Source organism: Homo sapiens, chromosome 5 (assembly GCF_000001405.40).
Source record: "Homo sapiens chromosome 5, GRCh38.p14 Primary Assembly".
In the NCBI taxonomy this organism is placed as follows: Eukaryota; Metazoa; Chordata; class Mammalia; order Primates; family Hominidae; genus Homo; species Homo sapiens.
The window spans coordinates 170,800,679-170,825,250 of NC_000005.10; the positions used below are offsets into that span (position 1 = coordinate 170,800,679).

The following is a 24,572-nucleotide window of genomic DNA, read 5'->3' on the forward strand; positions in this document are numbered from 1 at the left end:
CTCACGCCTATAATCCCAGCACTTTGGGAGGCCAAGGTGGACAGATTACTTGAGGCCTGGAGTTCAAGACCAGCCTGGCCAAGATGGTGAAACCCCATCTCTACTAAAAATACAAAAATTAGCCAGGTGTGATGGTGGGTGACTGTAATCCCAGCTACTTGGGAGGCTGAGGCAGGAGAATCGCTTGAACCCAGGAGGTGGAGGTTGCAGTGAGCAAAGATTGTGCCATTGCACTCCAGCCTGGGCAACAAGAACAAGACACCATCTCAAACAAAAAAATATATGTAGTAATAAATATTCTTTTCCCAATAAATACTGTAGCATCCATTTAACAATTACTTAATCCATGTCTGTCACTATACTAGACACCTTGCAAACAATCCTGAGAGATATGTATATTGTTTTTCCCATCTTGCAGATAGAGAAATTGAGGTTCATTAGGATTTGGCAATTTTCCCAAGGGAAAGTGAAGTAGCCGCACGGGGACTTCAACCCAGGTGGAATGGCCCCAAGGTCCCAAGTTCCCTGAACTCTAATAGCCCTTCCACTGGGCTGGAGAGTCACATAGGGAGTTTGTTCCAGTGGCTTGTTTGTGATCTGAGCTGCTTATTTTTCCTGAGTATACCATAAAGTGCTTTTAAACAGTAATATGGAGATAATGAAAATCTTTTAATACCTCCTTCCCAATTTCTCCAGTGTCCATTTATTATCATCATTGTTCCCCAAATTGAGTAACCATGTGACGCTTTTGTTGGATTCCCCAAATCCTGCCAGAATGTTCAACTGAATTGCAACCTGATTACCACACAGTAGTCCCAGACATATCCCTGTGCCAGTTCCCTTGCATTACCTAGGACCAAGACCAGTGTTTGTCCTTTCCTGTGTCTGCTAAGGAAAGTCTTTTTTCTCATTCTAATACTTTAGTTTTATATATTGTCCCACTAAAGTCTCCAGCCAGTCTGGATGGCTGGTTGGGTTCCATCTGTCTATCCTCATTTAAATACATTCAATTCATCCATTCAACCATTAAATGACGATTCTATGTGAGGTACTGTGGTAGATGTTTGCAATACACAGATAAAAGTAATGCTGCAGTCTTCGAGAACTCTACAGTCTAATAGAGGGTGCAGGACTTTAAATAATTATAACAGAATGAGTTACAACAATGAAAAGTAATGGGGGGGGGGTCAGAGTTTTCCTAGGGAAAGTGTCACTTGGAATGAGACATAGGGCATCAGCTGGAATGGACCAAGAGACAAGGAGTGGGACTCAGAATCTGCTAAGATGAGGATTATGTACAAGAAGGAACAAAGCAGAAGGGATGGCAAATATGCAAAGCCATCCTTGACATTTATCACTCGTGCTTCCAACTTTTAAAAAAAATTGCTTGATAGATATAAAGCTCACACAGTCATGCCAGTAAATGGGCATCTAAACTGTAACCTGGGGATTTGCCTGTGATGAAGAATGAGGATTTAACTCTAGGTTGATGTGTGATGAATGAACTCCCTAGCATTGTTAAGTAATCTCCATTGTTCCTTAGTAAACCGCTCCGAAATGCCCACCAAACTGGGGCACCTGTGATAGGCAAACAACATTGCAGATATGATTTATTAAGGCATCAAGGTGGGGCTTGTGTGTGGAGGGAGAAATATAGTCAAACTCTGGAGAGCAGTGGGCACTCCTTACGTAAGGTCACAAGTGGGCAACATCTGAGAAGCACAGCCATTATGAAGCAGAAGCCATTTTTCAGAAGCAGACATTTAATTAAAGACCCAGAAAAACAGATTAATTATCTTATTGATTAAATGCATGCAGAAACTTCTTGAAGCAATACAGCTGTTTGGTGGCAGAATAAAACTTGAGGTTATCAAAAAGAGAACTCATTTTCAGTCCCACATGGAAAAAGCTATTACCTTCCGTGTATCGTGGCTGGGCTCATCTCAAATCCCAGGAGACAGATTCTCCTGGAAACCTCAGCCTCTGTTTCACAAATACCATCCCCAGTGAGCGGAGGGAGTTTTCTCTGTTCAGCCTCTGTTTCACATATACCATCCCCAGTGAGCGGAGGGAGCTTTCTCTGTTCAGCCTCTGTTTCACATATACCATCCCCAGTGAGCGGAGGGAGCTTTCTCTGTTCAGCCTCTGTTTCACATATACCATCCCCAGTGAGCGGAGGGAGCTTTCTCTGAATGTTTATTAGCAGTGTTTGGGTACAGAAACCTCACTATGGGTTTTTTTCTAAGTACCATCTCTAGAAAAGAACTGATACCATCCCACAGTTTTCCTTATTCACCCAGGGACAGAGAGACCATAATGTAATGATTGTGAGCATTTACTAGTTGTAAAGTCAGAGTGTCCAGGTAGAAACTTGTACTACCCACTTTCATAGATTTTTTTTTTAATGTGGGATGGTAGCCGTATTTAGACAGCTGGCTTTAGTACATGTTTGGATGCTTCCAAGGGAAAGTCCACAGACAGTTTTTACCTGGAAATCCCCTAAGAGTTCATGGCTATATTTCTCTTCCCTGGGGAGGGCGAGATAACCCTTGCTAGACAATGGATACCATACTGTGAGACTTAACAAAATGTTAGTTCCAACACCGGCATCACATTTCCCAGTAGTCTTTGAAAACAAAGGCAATATACCTTTATGTATAAGATCACAGGTACCGAAATCACTGAGTTTTGCCATCACTAGCTCTGTGACTCTGGGTGAGTAACTAATGTCTCTGGACCTCAGTTTCCTATCAGTGAAGTGGGAAGAATAATAGTGTCTGACTCAGAGTTGTTTTTTAACAGCTTTATTGAGGTATAACTTATATACGATAAAATTCACCCATTTTAATTGTACAGTTCAAAGATTTTTAGTACATTTCCGAGTAGTGCAACCATCACCACATGTCATTGTTAGAATATTTCCATCACCCCAAAGAGACTCCTGTACCCATCTGCAGTCACGCCTCTTTCCCATCACCAGCTCCCAGGCGATGACTAACCTACTCGCTGTCTGTATGAATTTGCCTTTTCTGGATATTTCTTATAAATGGAATCATGCACTATGTGGTTGGTTGGTTGGTTGGTTGGTTGGTTGGTTGGTTGGTTGGTTGGTTTTGAGACAGAGTTTTGCTCTGGTTGTCCAGGCTGGAGTGCAATGGCGCAATCTAGGCTCACTGCAAACTCCGCCTCCCAGGTGCAAGTGATTCTCCTATCTCAGCCTCCCAAGTAGCTGGCATGCGCTGCCACACCTGGCTAATTTTTGTATTTTTAGTAGAGACAGGGTTTCACCATGTTGGCCAGGCTGGTCTCAAACTCCCGACCACAGGTGATCCACCTGCCTCAGCCTCCCAAAGTGCTGGGATTACAGGCATGAGCCACCATGCCCAGCCCTATGTGGTCTTTTGCATCTGGTTTCTTTCACTTAGCATGTTTTTGAGGTTCACACATGTTATGGCTTGCATCAGTACTTTATTCCTTTTTATTACTGAGTAGTATTTCTTTGTATGCATATATATATATATATATATATATATTCATGTGAGATAGATGAGATAGATATATATATCAAATTTTATTTATTGATTCATCAGTTGATGAACATTTGGTTTCCACCTTTTGGCTATTATGAGTAGTGCTGCTATGAACACTGGTGTGTGAGTCTTTCTGTGGACAGGATTTCATTTCTCTTGGACAGATACCTAGGAGTGGAATGCTGGGTCAAATGGTAAATATATATTTAAGTTTTAAAGAAATTGCTACTTTGTTACTGTTTCCCAAAGTGGTTGTACCATTTCACATTCCCACTAGCTAATGTTCCAGCTTCTGCATGTGCTGGCCTTCGTTACTGTCTATCTTTTTTATTACAGCCATCTAATGGGTGTGAGGCATTTTATTGTGGTTTTGATTTGCATTTCCCTAATGACTAGTGATGTTGAGTATCTTTTTGTTTGCTTATGAACCATTCATGTATCTTCTCAAAGAGATACATTGAGGGTTAAATGAGATGATAATGTTGTAAAGCACTTGGAAATGCAATTGCTTATTAAATGATAGGTATTATTATCATCGTCACTCATAGACTTTGGGATTAAACTTTCCTAAGGTAACTTTGTTTCTTGCTTGCCTTGTTATCCTGAGAAAGTTATGCAACCCCTCTGAATCTGAGAGTTTTCAAGAATAATGTGGGAAAATCATTATAGTGACTGAGTTCTATGGAACAGCATTTATTGAATAATAACATTTCAGGAAAAAATATAAGCTTTACTGTATATTAAAATACATATATACGTTTATATATTATATATTATATTATATTATATATTATATATATTATATATATTATAATATTTATATATTATATAGATATAAATCAACTACAAGATCCAGTTCAATTTCAGAAAATGTAAAGAAATGTCCATCTTAGAATTGAGGAAATATAGAAATGGCTACCTTGCAAGTTTACAAGAACATTAGTGACATAATGTATAAAGTACTTATAAATGTTCAAAAGGTAACTATTGTTACTATTATCAAGTATATTAATTAAACTGCTTTGAGACTTATCTAACGTGCATTTTTACAGGCTTTAATAAAGCAGGTTTTTTGTTTTTGTTTTTGCATTTATGCCAATATAGAAATATGAACAGATCAGTTCTTAAGTCCCTGAAAATATCATCAGAGCTATTATACAATCTTGAAAGGCAGTATCTTTGCGTGTTCACAGATATGTGCTTAATAAATGTAATTTAAATAATGAGGGAGGCCACTTCTAATGACTTATCATCCACCAGATCTACGCAGTACCTAACACAAGACCAGCTCTCAATTGACGGCAAATCGTCCTGGCAGGTCACTTCATTCAGAGCAGACATTGCAATTGCACTTGGGAAATCTTGCTAAGTTCTGCATGGGATTGTCCTTGGACTTATCACTATGAAGAAAGAACTCATGCTGTCTCCATATTATAGCATTTTCCAGACCAGACCAGTTCAATCTGGAACACCCTTGCACTGACCAGGGCTCCATTTTATTTGCCAGGGGGCTATGATGGAAATGATGTGGAGTTCACCTGGCTGAGAGGGAACGACTCTGTGCGTGGACTGGAACACCTGCGGCTTGCTCAGTACACCATAGAGCGGTATTTCACCTTAGTCACCAGATCGCAGCAGGAGACAGGTAACTCATGTGACAAACTGTATGAAATAAAAATAAGTGAACTGAGGTGTAGGGTTGCTCTCTGAGTCAGAAATATCGTCTTCTCACTTTACCTCCTTGGGATGCAGTGGAGCGGGACAGTAGGGTTTGTGCTGAGCAATTCCACCTCCTCCACACCCAGTATTAAAATGGTCCACTGAGGAACAGACCTCTGGACCAGCTCTGAAGCCTTGCACCATGTACCTCCAGATACTTGCTAATGAGTGCTCAAATTCCGTGCCTCCATCATGCATAAAATTTATTCATATTTCTCACTGGAACACTAGTTCTCTGACACTGAAGAATAAAAATAAGAATACAGCTCAAAGATGAAGAAGACAGCAGCAATGCCCAACAAGAGCATGAACACTCTAATTATTGCAAACATGGCAGGAAGTATTACTTATTCATTTCATTTACCAGAAATGCATCTCTTGGTCTTTGGCGATTTTACATAGACATGTTTGGAAAGATGTGATGTTATATAAAAGCAGCTGGCATTTTCCTCTCACTTCCTTATGATAATATTAAGAACGCTTATTCTCATCAATATTTGCACCCTAAAAAATTACTACATATTTTATTTTATTTAATTGAGACAAAGTCTTTCGCACAGGCTGGAGTGCAGTGGCACGATCTCAGCTCACTGCAACCTTCGCCTCCCAGGTTCAAGCGACTCTTGTGCCTCAGCCTCCTGAGTAGCCGGGATTACAGGCATCCTCCAGCATGCCCGGCTAATTTTTGTATTTTTGGTAGAGAGGGGTTTCGCCATGTTGGCCAGGCTGGTCTCGAACTCCTGACCTCAAGTGATCCACCCGCCTTGGCCTCCCAAAGTGCTGGAATTACAGGCATGAGCCACCGCGCCCGGCCTACTGTGTATTTTAGTTGAGCCTAGGTGACATTAAAAATCATATGTCACACCAAGATCATGGTTACATGAAAATTAGAAACTAAAGGGTATGTATAGAGAAAAGACTGGAATAGAAGGAAAGATGATTTTTTCTCTCTACTTTTCTTATTTTCCAAATTTTTCTTTTCTTTTTTCTTTTATCTATTTACTTATTATTTTACTTTATTTTATTTTATTTATTTGAGACAGTGTCTCACTCTAGTGTCACCTAGGCTGGAGTGCAGTGGCGCAATCTCAGCTCACGGCAAAATTCACCTCCTGGGCTTGGGTGATCCTCCCACCTCAGTCTCACTGGTAGCTGGGACTATAGGTGTGTGCCATCATGCCTGGGTAATGTTTTGTATTATTGTAGAGATGAGGTTACATCATGTTTCCCAGCTGGTCTCGAACTCCTGAGCTCCAGCAAACCACCTGCCTTGGCCTCCCAAAATGCTGGGATTACAGACATGAGCCACCAAGCCTGGCTTTATTTTCCAAAATTTAAGTAATTATCATGAATTATTTTTATAATGGGCAAATAAATACACTTTATTTTTAAAGACAACTTTGTAAATTAGGGCTATGCAGTCATAGTTTACCAAATCTGGATTCCCAAGTTGGGTTCATATAAAAAATGGCTTCAGTTTTCAAAATTATGTAATCTCATGTAGCACATAACCACCCTCTTTAGGTACAAAAGAGGGTCGTTATTTAGTCAAATGTTGATTCTAAGGTTTGCTTGTTTGTTTTTAAAACATTGACTTTCAAAATCAAGAAAATAAAGCAGGCAGTGTAGACTGATAAAACATCCCTGGACCAACGGGCAAAAGACCTGGTTTTTATTCTTTCTTCTAACATCAACTCCAGGTCCTTTTCAAATCACTAAAACTTCCTGTGTCTCAATTTACCCATCAATAAAGTAAAATAATAAGTAATCTCTAGGGTCTCACCAAGCTCGAAAAGTACATATTTTTATTCTATACTATATTTATCCAGGCATATGTCTGTTGTTTTTTTAATGGTATAATTTCTCATTTCAGGCTTTAATTTGGGGGTGACAGAGGGTTGGAGCAGCTCCCATTCACCATCCTGTTTTTCCCCAACAACAATCTAAGCCAGACTTTTCCTGTTCCCAGAGGATAACCTCTTCATTCATGCATCCACACCAGTGCTGGCCACTACTGCTCACCTCCCCATAATAGAAGCACAGCAGGAGCAGAGCTTGGGACTCTAACCCATGGACATATATGTTTTGTGCTACAGTAGCCTATTTACCACAGAGAATTCTGTTACTGATAGCTCTCTAACACATGCCTTTCCCACATCTAGAATACACTGCTAGATTCCCTAAGGATGGCCCTGAAGTAGTATAAAATCTGGGGTGCCTCTGAAATCATCAAAAATTCACTTATATTTAATAGGTCCATTAGGTCTATTCCATAGTATTCCTTGAGAAACAGATGGTCACAGGTAATCTTCATTAAACAGGTATTTATTGAACAACTACTTTGTGAGTGCAGAACTGAAAGATTCAGTGTTTGCCCCCAAGGAACTCACTGTCTAGTGAGGCAGACGTCAAGAAAACCAGTATTGATTGCACTGCTGTAGGAATACTGTGATTCAGAAAAGCCCAGGTTGGACATAAGGCAGGACAGCGCCCCTATAAATCCCATTCAATGCAACAGCAGTGTCTCCTGTGGAAATCATAATGACAGTTCATACATAACCAGATTTAGATCAATGACAGAGGGCTTAATGTACATATAGTTAAGCATCCCATAGAGAAACCACTTGCTACACGAACAGACACAATTTCCTATCTGTTGTTTACCCTTTCAGGAAATTACACTAGATTGGTCTTACAGTTTGAGCTTCGGAGGAATGTTCTGTATTTCATTTTGGAAACCTACGTTCCTTCCACTTTCCTGGTGGTGTTGTCCTGGGTTTCATTTTGGATCTCTCTCGATTCAGTCCCTGCAAGAACCTGCATTGGTAAGCAGCTCCAACAGGAGATTTCTAAGAACTGGCTTATCAGGTTACTTACTTTTTTTCCTTTTACCATTGTCTTCATTGATATTCCTAAGGCAGTTCCAAGAGTTGTTTTCTTGGGAGATTCTTTTACAGAGAAAGAAAGAGAGAGACAGAAAGAGACTACTTTAGGATTCTGGGTTTTTTGTTGTTGTTTTTTTTTTGGAGACAGAATTTCACTCTTGTTGCCCAGGTTGGAGTGGACTGGCGTGATCTCGGCTCACTGCAACCTCTGCCTTCCAGGTTCAAGTGACTCTCCTGCCTTATCATCCCAGGTAGCTGGGACTACAGGCATGTGCCATGATGCCCAACTTATTTTTGTATTTTTAGTAGAGATGGGGTTTCACCACGTTGCCCAGGCTGGTCCTGAACTCCTGACCTCAAGTGATCTGCCCACCTTGGCCTCCCAAAGTGCTGGGATTACAGGTGTGAGCCACTATGCCCTGCCAGGAGTGGTGCATTTTTAAACTTAAGTTTTACAGTGACAAGTAAGGGATCATTGTGCTTAGATGGTCTATTGTCAGTTCTTTTGCATATTTATCACCCCCTCCCAGGAGAAGACAGAACGTGAAACATTAAAAAAAAACACATCCCTCATATCTGTACAAAATGGACAAATCAACCCTATTCTAGAAGGTCGCAGACTTTTCAAAATGAGATGCATTCCATTTCTGGGTCTTGCCCTCACCCTGCCAATTCTCAAATGGGGACACTCTGCCAGGCTATGGTGGAGGACTAACCAGTCACTTTGTAGGAACATCCCCTGCCTGTTTTCCCAGGAGTGACGACCGTGTTATCAATGACCACACTGATGATCGGGTCCCGCACTTCTCTTCCCAACACCAACTGCTTCATCAAGGCCATCGATGTGTACCTGGGGATCTGCTTTAGCTTTGTGTTTGGGGCCTTGCTAGAATATGCAGTTGCTCACTACAGTTCCTTACAGCAGATGGCAGCCAAAGATAGGGTAAGAGTCTTGAGGGCCCTGTGTATGATCCATCACTGGTGCCGTGTGCTGATCTGTAGACATGGGCTGGACCTGGCTTCTATCCCCACCCCACCCGCAGTGATTCCCTGTGCTCCAGTGAGTCTTATCCTTGTTCAGGTGGGAGCAGCTGGAAGTCATGGTGCCCCTTGAAAAAGACCATTCTTTTCACCAAATACAATGAGATATTAATATGTTTAATTTTCCAGCAGAAAATATGTTATCTGTATGCAGCATAAAATCACAACCACAGGAGCAAGCATCCATGAAGAATCCAATATGAAAAAAACATGATCAGCTGCTTGCAAGTTTTATATTAATATATATTTACTATTTAATTCTTTTGTTGCATTATTTTGTCCTTAAATTATACAAGTAATGCTTTACTGAAAAATGTATGGAAATATTAGATTGTGACAAATTTCTTGGTGAGCATATTTTTCTGCTAATTGAGAAAAACTGTCATTATTTGGTTTAGCAATGGAACACTATAGTCCAGCTCTCTAAATAATAATAATAGTCATTATTTATCAAGCATTTACATGTGCCAGACACAGTAACAAGCCTTTTGCAAATACTATATTATTTTAAATGCTCATAACAACCCAATAAGGTTGTCTCCTTTTTTAAATTTATGAAATCTGATAACAAGAAGGGAAAGAGACTTACCGCAGGGGATATAGATACTAAGAGGTAGAGCTGGGATTCCAACCTAAACCTACTTGGTTCCAAAGCCTGACACTTATCCGCTATTCCCACTTGCAGAGAGCATTAGACCATGCTCTTAACTATCACCCTTTACAGGTTCATGGACCCCTAGTGTTATTTGGAAGCCAAATTTGATAGATAATGGCATTCTAAAGTTCATGCTAAGAAGCAAGAAAATGATAGGGATCCAGTTCAGAAGAGGTGCCCACCTTGAGCAAAGTGCTAGGACCACGGAGGATCTAATAGTGTAGAATGAGGAATCAAAATGACCCAAAGATCCAGTTGCTTTTTCCCTTGGGTTTGGCTACAGTGAGTAATGTTTCATAGTCATGTCATCCAAGCACCAAAGGCAAATGACCACGTGTGCCAGCCAAAGAGGAACATGGCTTTTATTTATTTTGCTCCCTTAGGCTTCCTTATGAGGGAGGAAGGAAGTTGAGTTACCTCCTCATCCCCCCGCCCAAGAATCTGGATTTACTAGATTGGCAAAATGGACATTGGTGAAATACTGACAGCCTCCTCTAAAGACACCAGAAAGCTCTTATTCTGCTGTGTATATGATAATCACTGCACTATGGAGTACTCACTGTGTCCTAAACATCCGTCAACATCTCCTTTAGTTCATCCAACAACACAATGAAATGAGTACCATTATTATCCCAATTTTACTCTTGAGAAATGTGCCACTAATTGATGTGGCACATTTCTCAAGGGTAAAATTGGGATAATAATGGTACTCATTTCATTGTCCTGTACAGTGATATGGTAACTCCCATAAGACCCCACACCTAGCAAGCGGCCTGGTCAAGGAACCAAACCACACTCTCTCTGACTTCACTACACTCCCACATTCCTGGGAGTTGACCCCAGCCATGTTGGAGAATGGCAACTCCTTGCAATGGCAGGGAGCATCACTATTTCTGCTTTGGTGGCAAAGCCTTTAAGACACAGCTGATTTCTATTATCTCTCGTAATCAGTTACTCCTTTCTCCCTGGAACAGAATTGAAGTCATCAAACACCTACCAGATGCTTTCCATTTTTTACCATTTAATCTTCCCATCAGTCTCAAGATGGCAATACCAATCACCATTTGGCAGGCGAGGAAATAAAGTCTTGGAGGGATTGAGGTGACTAAAGTTTCACAATAGTGAGAGGCCGAATGGAATTTGAACCCAGGTCCACTAACTTCAAAGCCTGAGCATTTCGCATCTGGCACACTGCTCAGGATATCCACAGTAGGCCATGTTTACTCCTCCTGTTATATATGCTGGTGACCTACAAATAGGTGTCTCCAAACAGGGCAACAGGAGCCCAAGCCTGGCTTATTGGCCAATTTCTGAAGCACTCAATGCCACTCTCTATTAAGCCTAATTATTCAACACTTAGGCCTCTAAACTTTTTATTAGCTCATTACCTACTTATTTATTTTGCTGAGTCAAGTCTTTTAAGCTAACTGCATTGTCTATGAACTAGGGGACAACAAAGGAAGTAGAAGAAGTCAGTATTACTAATATCATCAACAGCTCCATCTCCAGCTTTAAACGGAAGATCAGCTTTGCCAGCATTGAAATTTCCAGCGACAACGTTGACTACAGTGACTTGACAATGAAAACCAGCGACAAGTTCAAGTTTGTCTTCCGAGAAAAGATGGGCAGGATTGTTGATTATTTCACAATTCAAAACCCCAGTAATGTTGATCACTATTCCAAACTACTGTTTCCTTTGATTTTTATGCTAGCCAATGTATTTTACTGGGCATACTACATGTATTTTTGAGTCAATGTTAAATTTCTTGCATGCCATAGGTCTTCAACAGGACAAGATAATGATGTAAATGGTATTTTAGGCCAAGTGTGCACCCACATCCAATGGTGCTACAAGTGACTGAAATAATATTTGAGTCTTTCTGCTCAAAGAATGAAGCTCCAACCATTGTTCTAAGCTGTGTAGAAGTCCTAGCATTATAGGATCTTGTAATAGAAACATCAGTCCATTCCTCTTTCATCTTAATCAAGGACATTCCCATGGAGCCCAAGATTACAAATGTACTCAGGGCTGTTTATTCGGTGGCTCCCTGGTTTGCATTTACCTCATATAAAGAATGGGAAGGAGACCATTGGGTAACCCTCAAGTGTCAGAAGTTGTTTCTAAAGTAACTATACATGTTTTTTACTAAATCTCTGCAGTGCTTATAAAATACATTGTTGCCTATTTAGGGAGTAACATTTTCTAGTTTTTGTTTCTGGTTAAAATGAAATATGGGCTTATGTCAATTCATTGGAAGTCAATGCACTAACTCAATACCAAGATGAGTTTTTAAATAATGAATATTATTTAATACCACAACAGAATTATCCCCAATTTCCAATAAGTCCTATCATTGAAAATTCAAATATAAGTGAAGAAAAAATTAGTAGATCAACAATCTAAACAAATCCCTCGGTTCTAAGATACAATGGATTCCCCATACTGGAAGGACTCTGAGGCTTTATTCCCCCACTATGCATATCTTATCATTTTATTATTATACACACATCCATCCTAAACTATACTAAAGCCCTTTTCCCATGCATGGATGGAAATGGAAGATTTTTTTTTAACTTGTTCTAGAAGTCTTAATATGGGCTGTTGCCATGAAGGCTTGCAGAATTGAGTCCATTTTCTAGCTGCCTTTATTCACATAGTGATGGGGTACTAAAAGTACTGGGTTGACTCAGAGAGTCGCTGTCATTCTGTCATTGCTGCTACTCTAACACTGAGCAACACTCTCCCAGTGGCAGATCCCCTGTATCATTCCAAGAGGAGCATTCATCCCTTTGCTCTAATGATCAGGAATGATGCTTATTAGAAAACAAACTGCTTGACCCAGGAACAAGTGGCTTAGCTTAAGTAAACTTGGCTTTGCTCAGATCCCTGATCCTTCCAGCTGGTCTGCTATGAGTGGCTTATCCCGCATGAGCAGGAGCGTGCTGGCCCTGAGTACTGAACTTTCTGAGTAACAATGAGATACGTTACAGAACCTATGTTCAGGTTGCGGGTGAGCTGCCCTCTCCAAATCCAGCCAGAGATGCACATTCCTCGGCCAGTCTCAGCCAACAGTACCAAAAGTGATTTTTGAGTGTGCCAGGGTAAAGGCTTCCAGTTCAGCCTCAGTTATTTTAGACAATCTCGCCATCTTTAATTTCTTAGCTTCCTGTTCTAATAAATGCACGGCTTTACCTTTCCTGTCAGAAATAAACCAAGGCTCTAAAAGATGATTTCCCTTCTGTAACTCCCTAGAGCCACAGGTTCTCATTCCTTTTCCCATTATACTTCTCACAATTCAGTTTCTATGAGTTTGATCACCTGATTTTTTTAACAAAATATTTCTAACGGGAATGGGTGGGAGTGCTGGTGAAAAGAGGTGAAATGTGGTTGTATGAGCCAATCATATTTGTGATTTTTTAAAAAAAGTTTAAAAGGAAATATCTGTTCTGAAACCCCACTTAAGCATTGTTTTTATATAAAAACAATGATAAAGATGTGAAACTGTGAAATAAATATACCATATTAGCTACCCACCAAATCAAGTGGTCATCTATACAATGATTGTTATAAGATCCAATCTGGAGAAGGTATGTATCACAGTACAAACTCAATGGGCTCACATCCTTCTATCCTCATGTTCCCCCAACCCCAAACGGTACACATATATGCTCAAGACACACATATAAACCCTACCATTAATATCTTCTGCCAAGCAAATAGTAAATGCTGGTGACATAGCCAATGTTTTCTTTGACATCACTGCACCACAACACCTGCCTTGCAGTTAAACAGCTGAGCCTGGTGATAGCAAAAGAGCCAATTCTCAAAAAATGTCACAGATTTTCTTCTAAGCATTCTTTATCACTTGGAATTCTCTTTTTTGTTGTTGAATGATATTTTTATAGTTTGAGAATACACTTTGCGGGGGGAACATTGACTCTTGGATTTTGTATCACTCTGCACTAAAGTGTAGCTACTACATCAGAGTTCTCAGTAAAAACTTCTAATATTCGAAACCTGTCCATTTTATCCCCTACCCAGAGCAGTCCCAGTGATCACGTTGTTCAAAATATTTACTTCTTGGTTGAAAATATCAAGAACAACCTCACCAAATTTCCAAAGGACATGAAACTAGCTGGGGTTGGGAATATTCTAAATCATAGAAATATAATTATTAGTTAACTTGCTACTGAGACTAGCAATAGTCTCAATATAAGAAATCATAAAAATATAGGAAGACACTCAATAGCAACTAAATGGCAGATGGTTCATTTCAAATGAAAGGGAGAAATGAGGGTGGGGCGCAGTGGCTCATACTTGTAATCCCAGTATTTTGGGAGGCTGAGGTGGGTGGATCACTTGAGGTCAGGAGTTCGAGACCAGCCTGGGCAACATGGCGAAACCCTGTCTCTACTAAAAATAGAAAAAAATTAGCCGGGCGTGGTGGTGGGTGCCTGTAATCACAGCTACTCAGGAGGCTGAGGCAGGAGAATCACTTGAACCCAAGAGGCAGAGGTTGCAGTGAGCCAAGATCACACCACTGCACTCCAGCCTGGGCAACAGAGTGAGACTCCATCTCAAAAAAAAAAAAAAAAAAAAAAGAAGAAGAAAAGAAAAAAGGAGAAATGAGCATAGCAGAAAAGGGCTGGAGATTACAGTAGACCTCAAGCTGGAAATGAGCAGGCAATGCAGGGGAGTCCCCGTCGAAGAAAAGTACAGTATGGCTTTCAGTGCCAGGTGATATGGTTTGGCTCTGTGTTCCATCTCGAATTGTAATCCCCACATGTCGTGGGAGGGACTTGGTGGGAAGTGATTTGATCATGGGGGTGGTTTCCCCCATGCTGTTCTCATGATAGTGAGGGAGTTTTCACAAGAGCTGATGGTTTTAAAGTATAGCACTTCCTTGCTCTCTCTCTCTCCTGCTGCCATGTAAGACATGCCTTGCTTCCCCTTTGCCTTCCACCATGATTGTAAGTTTTCTGAGGCCTCCCCAGCCATGCAGAACTGTGAGTCAATTAAGCCTCTTTTGTTTATAAATTACCCATTCTCAGGTAATGTCTTTATAGAAGTGTGAAAACGAACTAATACACAAGGCAAGTATAGTGACAAGCATAAAGATCTGCAGTTAGTGGGAGTTTGAGATCAAGATATGGTCTTTTGGCCAGGTGCAGTGGCTCACGCCTGTAATCCCAGCACTTTGAGAGGCCAAGGTGGGTGGATCATGAGGTCAGGAGATCGAGACCATTCTGGCTAACATGGTGAAACCCCATCTCTACCAAAAATACAAAAAATTAGCCAGGTGTGGTGGCGCATGCCTGTAGTCCCAGCTACACAGGAGGCTGAGGCAGGAGAATCACTTGAACCCAGGAGGCAGAGGTTGCAGTGAGCCGAGATGGCACCACTGCACTCCAGCCTGGTGACAGAGACTCCATCTCAAAAAAAAAAAAAAAGAGATAAGGTATTTCTTCAATGTTGTGCCTTACTCTTACACATAGAGAGCAGTTCTTCTCAGCTGCTGGCCCATAGTGAATTTTTATCAGTTTACTGCCAAAGTTCCTTGCTTTTTAAAACGTATACATTTTTAAAATTGTCTTTTAACAGACAAGGAATTACACCCTAATATGTGATCAATGTAAGTTATGTGTGATATTTTTTAAAAGAAAAATTGAAAATATGTTTAATCTATTTTTAAAATTAAATATATATTAAATTACATATAATTTTCAACAGTTTTGTAAAGACTTTAAATATATATCAGACTGCAGTATATTTGGGTGGAAAACACTGAGTTCAATTTTGGCCCATACTTCTAGGGATGTACAGAAATGGGGAAAGAGAGAAGAATGACAGAAGTGATTTAAATAATAGAAAACAAGTCCAACAAGAAGGAGCTTTTGTACCTTGGAAAGTAAGCTGAGTAAATGACTGTCATTATTAGGTTCAAGAGAAATTTTGTGCAAGGGACATGCTGTTCCACTATTCACCTGAATAAGTGAACTGAATAAAAGTAAATAGGCATAAAAGCACTTCAGAGAAAGCCTAATTGTTTAGAAGGAAGAAAATGTGCAGGTTGAATAATGAAATGCTCAGATTCTCCATCTGGAAATTTCCCATGAGAATAAAGAATCATCTCTCCCTTTGATTTTGCCATACAGCTGCCTGAAAGCAGACAGCTCTATTTTACCAGGTAATCTTGGAAGGTTGTAGATGCAGGGAGATGCCTCTGGCTGCAGAAAATTAAAGTGTCAACGTATTGCTAACATAAAACAAATGCCTAAGAATATTCCTGGTGGCCCACAAGGTTGAACTTCAAAATTATGATTTCTTTTGGGGGATCTGAAGGGGAATCATGTGATTCATAGCTTTCAGTGACTTGGCTATGATATGAAACTTAACCACTCAATATCATTTCTTCTAACTGTGCCTTCCCAGACATTAGATAAAATGCAATCCCATTTGAAAACTAGGAAAGAGAATAGAACATGAAAAGTGAGTAAATAACTACCTGATGGTCCAATGTCCCTGTGATCTTTGAGGACATCTGCATTTACAAGCCAGCTAGCTATTCCTCTCTCAGTGAAGACGAGACCCAAGAGTTAAAGAGTTGTAGAGTTGGGCAATGTTGTGTATCTTTTTGCTGTAATACATTATAGCCATGAGTACAACTATATGCGGAGTCCTGTGAATCCTCCTGGTGAATCATCAAACCTAGCCAGTGGTCATGGGGACTCTGGACACACAGGCTTTGAAGCAGTGGTTCCTGAATCCGGCTGATCATAAGAATCACTGGTGGAGCTCTATAGGCAACTGACCCCAGAGTCTCAACTCAGACTTATGGACTCAAGACCTGTATTTTTCCAAGCTCTCCACATGTGAAGCCAGATGGGAAGACAGATACCACGTGCCTTGGTGGAAAAGACAACAACTTCATGAAAACTACATTTTCAGGAGGGTGAAATAATACAGTGTGTCCACCACATGGAAACGTCCAACAGGATATGACTATTGAATATGAATAATATGTAGAGCAGACAGAAAGCAAATTTTTCCTTCTGTTTCATTGAATCTCCTATGTTAGTGCCAAGAAGGAACAGGACATCTGACATGGTTTGGATTTGTGTCTCCACCCAAATCTCACATCAAATTGTAATCTCCAATGTTGGAAGACGGGACTGGTGGGAGGTGATTGGATCATGGGGGAGGACTTCCCCCTTGCAATTCTCGTGATGATGAGTTCTCACGAGATCTGGTTGTTTAAAAGTGTGTAGCACCTCCCCCTTTTCTCTCTTCCTTCTGCTCCAGCCATGTAAGACGAGCCTGCTTCCCCTTCACCTTCTGCCATGACTGAAAGTTTCCTGAGGCCTCCCCAGCCATGCTTCCTGTATAGCCTGTGGAACCATGAGCCAGTTAAACCTCTTTTCTTTATAAATTACCAGTCTCAGGTAGTTCTTTATAGCAAAGCAAGAATAAACTAATACAACATCTATTTCTGATGTGGCCATAACATGACAAAAAAGCATCCAATGATAAATTTGTGGTTGAAGAATGATGCAGGCATACAGGGATACAGCAGTTCTTTGTTGCAACTCCCAGTTTTTGAGACACTAAACCTTAACCTTAGTTAAAGTTAATTTGAGTTTATGTAAATCAATTAAAAACATTCACAGGAATGCAAAAAGTTAGACTACCTGCAATCAAAGAACCTGCTTTCTGTAATGGGTAGGAGGGGGCAGCTGGCTTGAATGATGCCTCATAGGTAGCCCTCAAGGTCAGGGGTCTGAGTCAAAAGCTTCACTAAGAACTCAGAGTAATGAAAGGAGGGAGCACTCAGCTGAGAAATATGCGATCATCAGAGTTGTGACATAAAAAGGCAACTCCAAATTTTTTCCACAAAGAATCTAGTTGCATTCCATTTCAGACTTATCTCAAAAGACTAATCCAGTTTAATTTAGTGTGGGAACCCAAGAATGAGAGTCAGACTTCCTTCTCCTTCTCAGGGCCTCTTTGAGTCTGGCCTGCCAACTTACTCTGTGTCTGCACCCAAGGCAGAGGCCTGCAGTTTCTTTTTGGACTAAGACACTTGTGTAATTTCCAAATTTTAGAAGTTTTGAAGCTGGGATTTCAGGTTGAATACATTCATGGACACATTTAACGAACAAGAATTGTGGCTATGTCCTTAAAACATACAAAGAAGAGGCATGAATGATGAATAGACAGTTGGTCTCTATGAAAATATTTCTTTTTAAAGGAAGTAGGCAAACATGTCTCTGATGGATTTTGCTTTTCAATAACAAATTATTGAACCAATTCACAAAAACATATCTTGAAGGATCGAAAAGCCCTCATTCATAAACCAAATCATATCTATGGAACAAAACAAAGGAAATGGGACAGGGTGACAGTGGAAACTGATAACCACAAATATCACCAATAAAAGTTAGACTCAGATGCCATGGCATTTAAAGCCACAAACTTTAGAATGCAATAATAAAGTGAATTTTCAGAATGTAAAGAAGTCCCAGGAGAAATTATCCATTTAAAAATATGTGAGATGTGCTTTTTCTGAGTTTGTATATTTCTTACATCCTAAGAAAACATTCTAATTCATTTCACAGAGGGATTCAAAGGCAAATTCTCAACAAGGGAAATACAACTTTGTTTTTTATCTACTCATTTAGGAATTGAATAGAATTTATTAAGTTATTTTTTCCACAAAGAATCTAGTTGCATTCCATTTCAGACTTATCCCAAAAGACTAATCCAGTTTAATTTAGTGTGGGAACCCAAGAATGAGAGTCAAGAGACCTGGACTCTACTATTAACTGAATCTCTATTTGCCTAAGTTTTCTAATACGTCAAAGGGAACAAATATATTCACCCTTTCTATCTCACAGGTTTGTAGTATGGTTAAAAATTAAGATTATAAATGTGAAACTATTTTGGACATGTGATATCAGTCACACAAATGGGTCCTAATCAATCTGATACATGGTTATACACATATTACATACTCCCAGAAAATCAGTAGCTGGGACTTGATGAAGTGCAGCCAGCTTATATGTCATGTTAGTAGAAACTAGGGTGGGAGACGACACAGGATGCGTCCAAAATCAAACAGGGCACAGCCAAGACTAGAAGCCATGTCTTCTAGGCCTAGCATCTTTTCACCAATCCCATGACCTCCTCAAAGGATTCTGTGCACTCAGCTTCATGCTCAGCCTATGCAGAAGCAGGGCTGCAAGATTACAACATCTATAGAACAACAGCAAGCCGCGACCTCATAAAGATTGAATGGCATTATCTGTGGCCTGTGTCTTGATGATCTCTCTCAATCTGCCAGAACTGTTCCACACCCTAACCCACCCACCAGAAATTTGAGGCAGGGGCATCTCTGGAATCTTTACTAGCAAATCAGATCATTCTTCCCCAGAAAAGACTTAAAGTCATTTGTTAGCCTAGAGGACCCTGCTTTTCACCTCTTCCATCTAAAAGTTCCTGCAAAGGAGATCACAAAAGCTGGCATCTTGCCCACAGTGCATATTGGAGCAGCCTGGCTCACTGCTCCAAGAACACAGTTAACAAGAACATCCTATTTCATCTCTACAAAGGTGAAAGATCTCAGCTCATGATTCCTCTCAGCACTCCACTGGTGATTGTTTTAAAAATGCATTTGTATGTATACACAATGCCTTCTATTGCAATGAATCTTTCACATTTTTAAAGGCAAGTTGTATGTTCTGACACTATAAATGGTAGTAAAGGTATTTCAAATTATCTCCCATTTGCTTACTATATTAACCAAGAGAGTACATAAAGGGCAATAAAGTTACATCTTTATCAGAAAAGCATACTGTGCTTTGGTAAGCACTGTGTTGTCACAGCACCACTGTCTGCTCAAAGTTTTGTAATGTTTTCCAAATAGAACACAGGAGTAAAGTAACTTTTATGCAGTTTGCTGGGGGAAAATATTAAGAATAATCACCATAGTGCAGTCCATCAGAGGTGTTTTTATTTTTTTATTTTGCTTTTTCTCAGATAGAGAGACTTGATGTTACAAGTTGCATGAAAGGACGGAAGTCCATGGTGTATAAATGCTAGTTAATAGCTACAATTTTTTATGTGACAACTATGTACTAAGCACCTCACCTACCCTATCTCTCATCCTGACAATAGTCCTATAAGGTAGATGATATTAATCCATTTTGCAGAGGGGAAAACAGTGATTCAAGGAGATTCAATGGCCGGCTCAAGGTTACATAGTTGGGAAGTGGCAGAGCTTCGATTTGAACCCAGGTCTATTTGGCCTCAAGACTTCTGCCTGGGCTGGGTGCGGTGGCTCACGCCTGTAATCCCAGCACTTTGGGAGGCTGAGGTGGGGGGATCACCTGAGGTCAGTAGTTCGTGACCAGCCTGGCCAACATGGTAAAATCCCGTCGCTACTAAAAACACAAAAATTGGCTGGGCATGGTGGCACACGCCTGTAGTCTCAGCTACTCGGGAGGCTGAGGCAGGAGAATCACTTGAACCCGGGAGCCAGAGGTTGCAGTGAGTTGAGATCATGCCAGTGCACTCCAGCCTGGGCAATGAGAGTGAAACTCTGTCTCAAAAAGAAAACAAAACAAAACAAAACCTGTGCTTCATCCACTACACCATACAGCCTCATTCTTACAAGTTGTTAGAAGTCTCCAGAATCTGGATCCAAGCTAGACAATAACAGAAATGAAAGAAATGCAAACAATAATAAGATCATGCCCCTTTCACTTTCCCACCTTAGAAATGTCCACTGAACTTTCCATCTCCAAAGCCAGTAACTCATAAGGGTGATGGGAAGAAACAAACTGACCCTGTGAAGAATCCAGGGAGGATACTGGAGAGGTTAGGAGGCTGGCTTTGACCTGAGTCAGCTTAGGTTTCTGCCCTGGCTCTGCCTGTCACCAGTTAGCTGTGTGACCTGACTTAACCTCTTTGTACCTTATTTCCTTCTCTGTAAAATAGGAAAAATGTCCTTATAGCCTCCAATGATGCAATGTGTGCAGTGCACACAACGATACCAAGTGTGCAGAACACTTACAGTTCCTGGCCGATTGTTGCATGCTCCATAAATGTTATCTCTTTTTTATTGGAACTTTGGCTGTGAGGTCACTATATAAAAATAAAAGGCACATTATTGGTGAAACAAAACAAAATTCACAGTTTCTGGCTTAACTGGTTTTTGTTGGCACCTAATGGCCGTACGCCTCTTGATTTAAGAGAGCCTTAAAAACAAAGAGTGGATATCAAACACTGGGTTTCCATTTGCAAGGACAGATGCTCTTTTTTGGGCTCAGCTAAAACTAAAGTCTAGTCAGACAGCCCAAATCAAAACCCATTTTATTTCTCCTGCAAGTTTAAGTAGGAAATCAGTGCTGCTAAGAGTGTGAAGTGAAATCTCTAGAATTTATAATGAATAGGTCAGTCCCTGAACTACACACTCCTCCCTTTCCTATTTTTACATATAAAATTTTAGCCGTCATTTCCACCATTCCCAAACTCTTCTTTAAAAAAATTGTTCTAAATAATATTATGGAAAATAAAATAGCAGCCTGTCAACATATAGAGCTGACATAGGGACCACATCTGGGTAGGTTTCCTTTAAGGAAACTCTATACTGGATCTTCAGTCTTTCCGTGTATGGCTTAATCCAAGAGCAAATGAGCATGTCCTCTTAGAAAGAAAGCATATTAAAACATTTGCCTTGGGATTAATGAAGAATGGAAGACATTTGGGCAGGGAAGTGGGAAAGGAGAATGAAGCCATCGGGTGCCTAACACCGTAAGTAACTTAGAAGTCAGGCACTCAACATAAAGTTTTGCATTAAAGGTTAAAACACAGAGTTTCCAATAAGTAAAGTCTTTACGGGAGTTTTCACCAACTATCACCCATAGGTCTGGGTCCTTATAGAATTATTTTTAGGCTTAATATTTACTTCCCGAAGAAGCCTTTCTTTCCTCTCCAAAAAGCTCAAGTCCTGTGTTTCATAGACTATAGCAGTACATGCCTTTCATTAAAAGCCCCATCAATGTGATCACAGCTGTAATTGTACATGTATCCAAATCATTCATTGTTAACTATTTGTCTTTCGCTGAGATGTGGACTTCATACAGGGAAGGACTCTGTCTGCCTTTATTCCCTGAGTCCCCACAGTGCCTAACATAGTGACTCCACATAAAAAGAATCTAATAAACATTTGTAGAGTTAATAAATATATTCATTGAGTACAGAAATATTGAACCAAATTCTGTCCTGGAGACTAGAGCAGTATTTCCCCAAGAGTCCTTGGAGTGAGAAAGCCTGGGTTTGAGTCTTGGCTATGATACTTACTAGCCGTGTGGTCTTAGTCAAATTAATTTCTCTCTCTGTGCCTCGTCTGTCAACTGGCAATAATAATAGTTCTTACTTCACTGGGTTATTACATAGATAAAATAAATTAAAACATATACATTGCTTAGGCCAGGCGTGGTGGCTCACGTCTGTAATCCCAGCACTTTGGGAGGCTGAGGCGGGTGGATCACGAGGTCAGGAGATCAAGACCATCCTGGCAAACACGGTGAAACCCTGTCTCTACTAAAAATGCAAAAAATTAGCCAGGTGTGGTGGCACACGCCTGTAGTCCCAGCTACTCAGGAGTCTGAGGCAGGAGAACAGCTTGAACCCGGGAGGCAGAGGTTGCAGTGAGCCGAGATCGAGCCACTGCACTCCAGCCTGGGCAACAGAGTGAGACTCTGTCTCGAAACAAAACAAAACAAAACAAAAAAAAAACATGTACATTGCTTAAAGCAATGCCCTGTACATAACAATCCCTGTTATGTACAGGGATATATACATACATACAACCTGCTGTTATTATGATTCTTACAAACACCACTTCGGCTAGATGATCTGGGGATAAAAAGGCATATTTAGTCCAATAATTTTGGAAAATACTGAATTAAATAAAGTTAAAGGGCTGCCTGTTTCAAGACTTGTCAGAACTTTCAAAATACTAATGTACATTATGAATGTCTAAGGGGGATATCAGGTACAGTGTTTCCAAAATGTATTTGATGACAGAATCCTACTTGTGAGTAAATTATACTAGCATAGCTCATGGATAGTTTATGGAACACATTTTGTGAAATGCTGGATTTGATTCTTTAGTAGAAAAATAACAAGATGCCGGGTACAGTGGCTCATGCCTGCAATTTTAGCACTTTGGGAGGCCAAGGTGGGCAGATCACGTGAGTTCAGGAGTTCCAGACCAGCCTGGGCAACATAGCAAAACCCCGTCTCTATAAAAAGTATAAAAATTAGTGTGGTGGCGCATGCCTGTAATTCTAGCTACTCAGGAGGCTGAGGTGGAGGGATTGCTTGAGCCTGGAGGCAGAGGTTGCAGTGAACCATGATCATGCCAGTACACTCCAGCCTCGGTGAAAGGCCTGTCTCAAAATAAAAAAGAAAAAGAAAAATAACAAGAAACAAAATTTGGGAGGAAATATTTTTCAAAATTATAGATTGAAGAAATATTATTTAAGAAAGTAACTCTTTCTTAAAATATAATTAATGAGACATAAAATATATGAAAGGAAAATCTAGTCTTAAGTGTTTTGTTTTGTTTTGTTTTGTTTTGTTTTGTTTTGTTTTGTTTGAGAAAGAGTATCGCTCTGTCGCCCAGGCTTGAGTGCAGTGGCACGATCTCAGCTCACTGCAACCTCCACCTCCCTTAGTTCAAACAATTCCCCTGCCTCAGCCTCCTGAGTAGCTAGGATTACAGGCGCCTGCCACCACGTCTGGCTAATTTTTTTTGTATTTTTACTAGAAACAGGGTTTCACCATGTTGGCCAGACTAGTCTTGAACTCCTGACCTCAGTCAATCTGCCCGCTTTGGCCTCCCAAAGTGCTGGGATTACAGGCATGAGCTACTGTGCCTGGTCAAGTTTTTATTTATTTATTTTTGGAGACACATTCCTTCACTCTATCACCTAGGCTGGAGTGCAGTGGCGCAATCTTGGCTCACTGCAACCTTTGCCTCCCAGGTTCAAGAGATTCTTATGCTTCAGCTTCCCAAGTACCTGGGACTACTGGCGTGCACCACCATGCCTGGCTAATTTTTGTATTTTTAGTAGAGATGGGTTTCATTGTTTTGGCCAGGCTGCTCTTGAACTCCTGGCCTCAAGTGATCACCCACCTCAGCCTCCCAAAGTGCTGGGATTACAGGCATGAGCCACCACGCTCAGCCTAGCATTAAGTTTTTAAAGCCCAATGTCTTATTTGGGCTGAGGTACCAGACCCCTTATAGCACCTGAGAGCAAAGTCCCAGCTTAAGCTTGGGAACTTGCAGAAGGGTCCAGGCACAAGACAAGGCTGAGCTCCAAACTCACAGGTGCGCCTGGTGATATGCTTAGTTACAAATTAGAGTTTGCCTCTCTCCTTCTCCCCACAAATAATCCAACCAGGTATATTTGTTTGCTAGGACTGCCATAACAAAGTACCACAGACTAGGTGGCTTAAACAACAGATAATAAGTTTCTTACAGTTCTGGAGGCCAGAAGTCTGAGGTGTCAGCAGGGCCAGTTTCTTCTGAGTCTTCTCTCCTTGGCTTATAATTGGCCATTCTCTTGATGTCTTCATATGGTCTTTTGCTCTGTGCCTGTCCAAATTTCCTCTTCTTATAAGAACACAAGTCATATAGGATTAGGGTTTTCCTGAATGACCTCATTTTAATT

At 40.5% G+C, this 24,572-nt stretch overlaps 1 protein-coding gene across 4 annotated transcripts in view; it reads left to right on the top strand.

Moving 5' to 3' along the window:
* The window catches only part of GABRP (gamma-aminobutyric acid type A receptor subunit pi), a 31,328-nt gene extending 17,959 nt beyond the window's left edge, over window positions 1–13,369 (top strand). For 3 of the 4 annotated variants that reach the window (XM_024446012.2, NM_014211.3, XM_005265872.2), the window contains 4 exons: window positions 5,038–5,175; window positions 7,922–8,074; window positions 8,890–9,077; window positions 11,278–13,369. In XM_024446012.2, the coding sequence (XP_024301780.1) occupies window positions 5,038–5,175; window positions 7,922–8,074; window positions 8,890–9,077; window positions 11,278–11,580 (782 nt within the window). In that variant the 3' untranslated portion in view covers window positions 11,581–13,369. The remainder of the gene's footprint in view (window positions 1–5,037; window positions 5,176–7,921; window positions 8,075–8,889; window positions 9,078–11,277) is intronic. The other variant, NM_001291985.2, reaches the window with a different exon arrangement.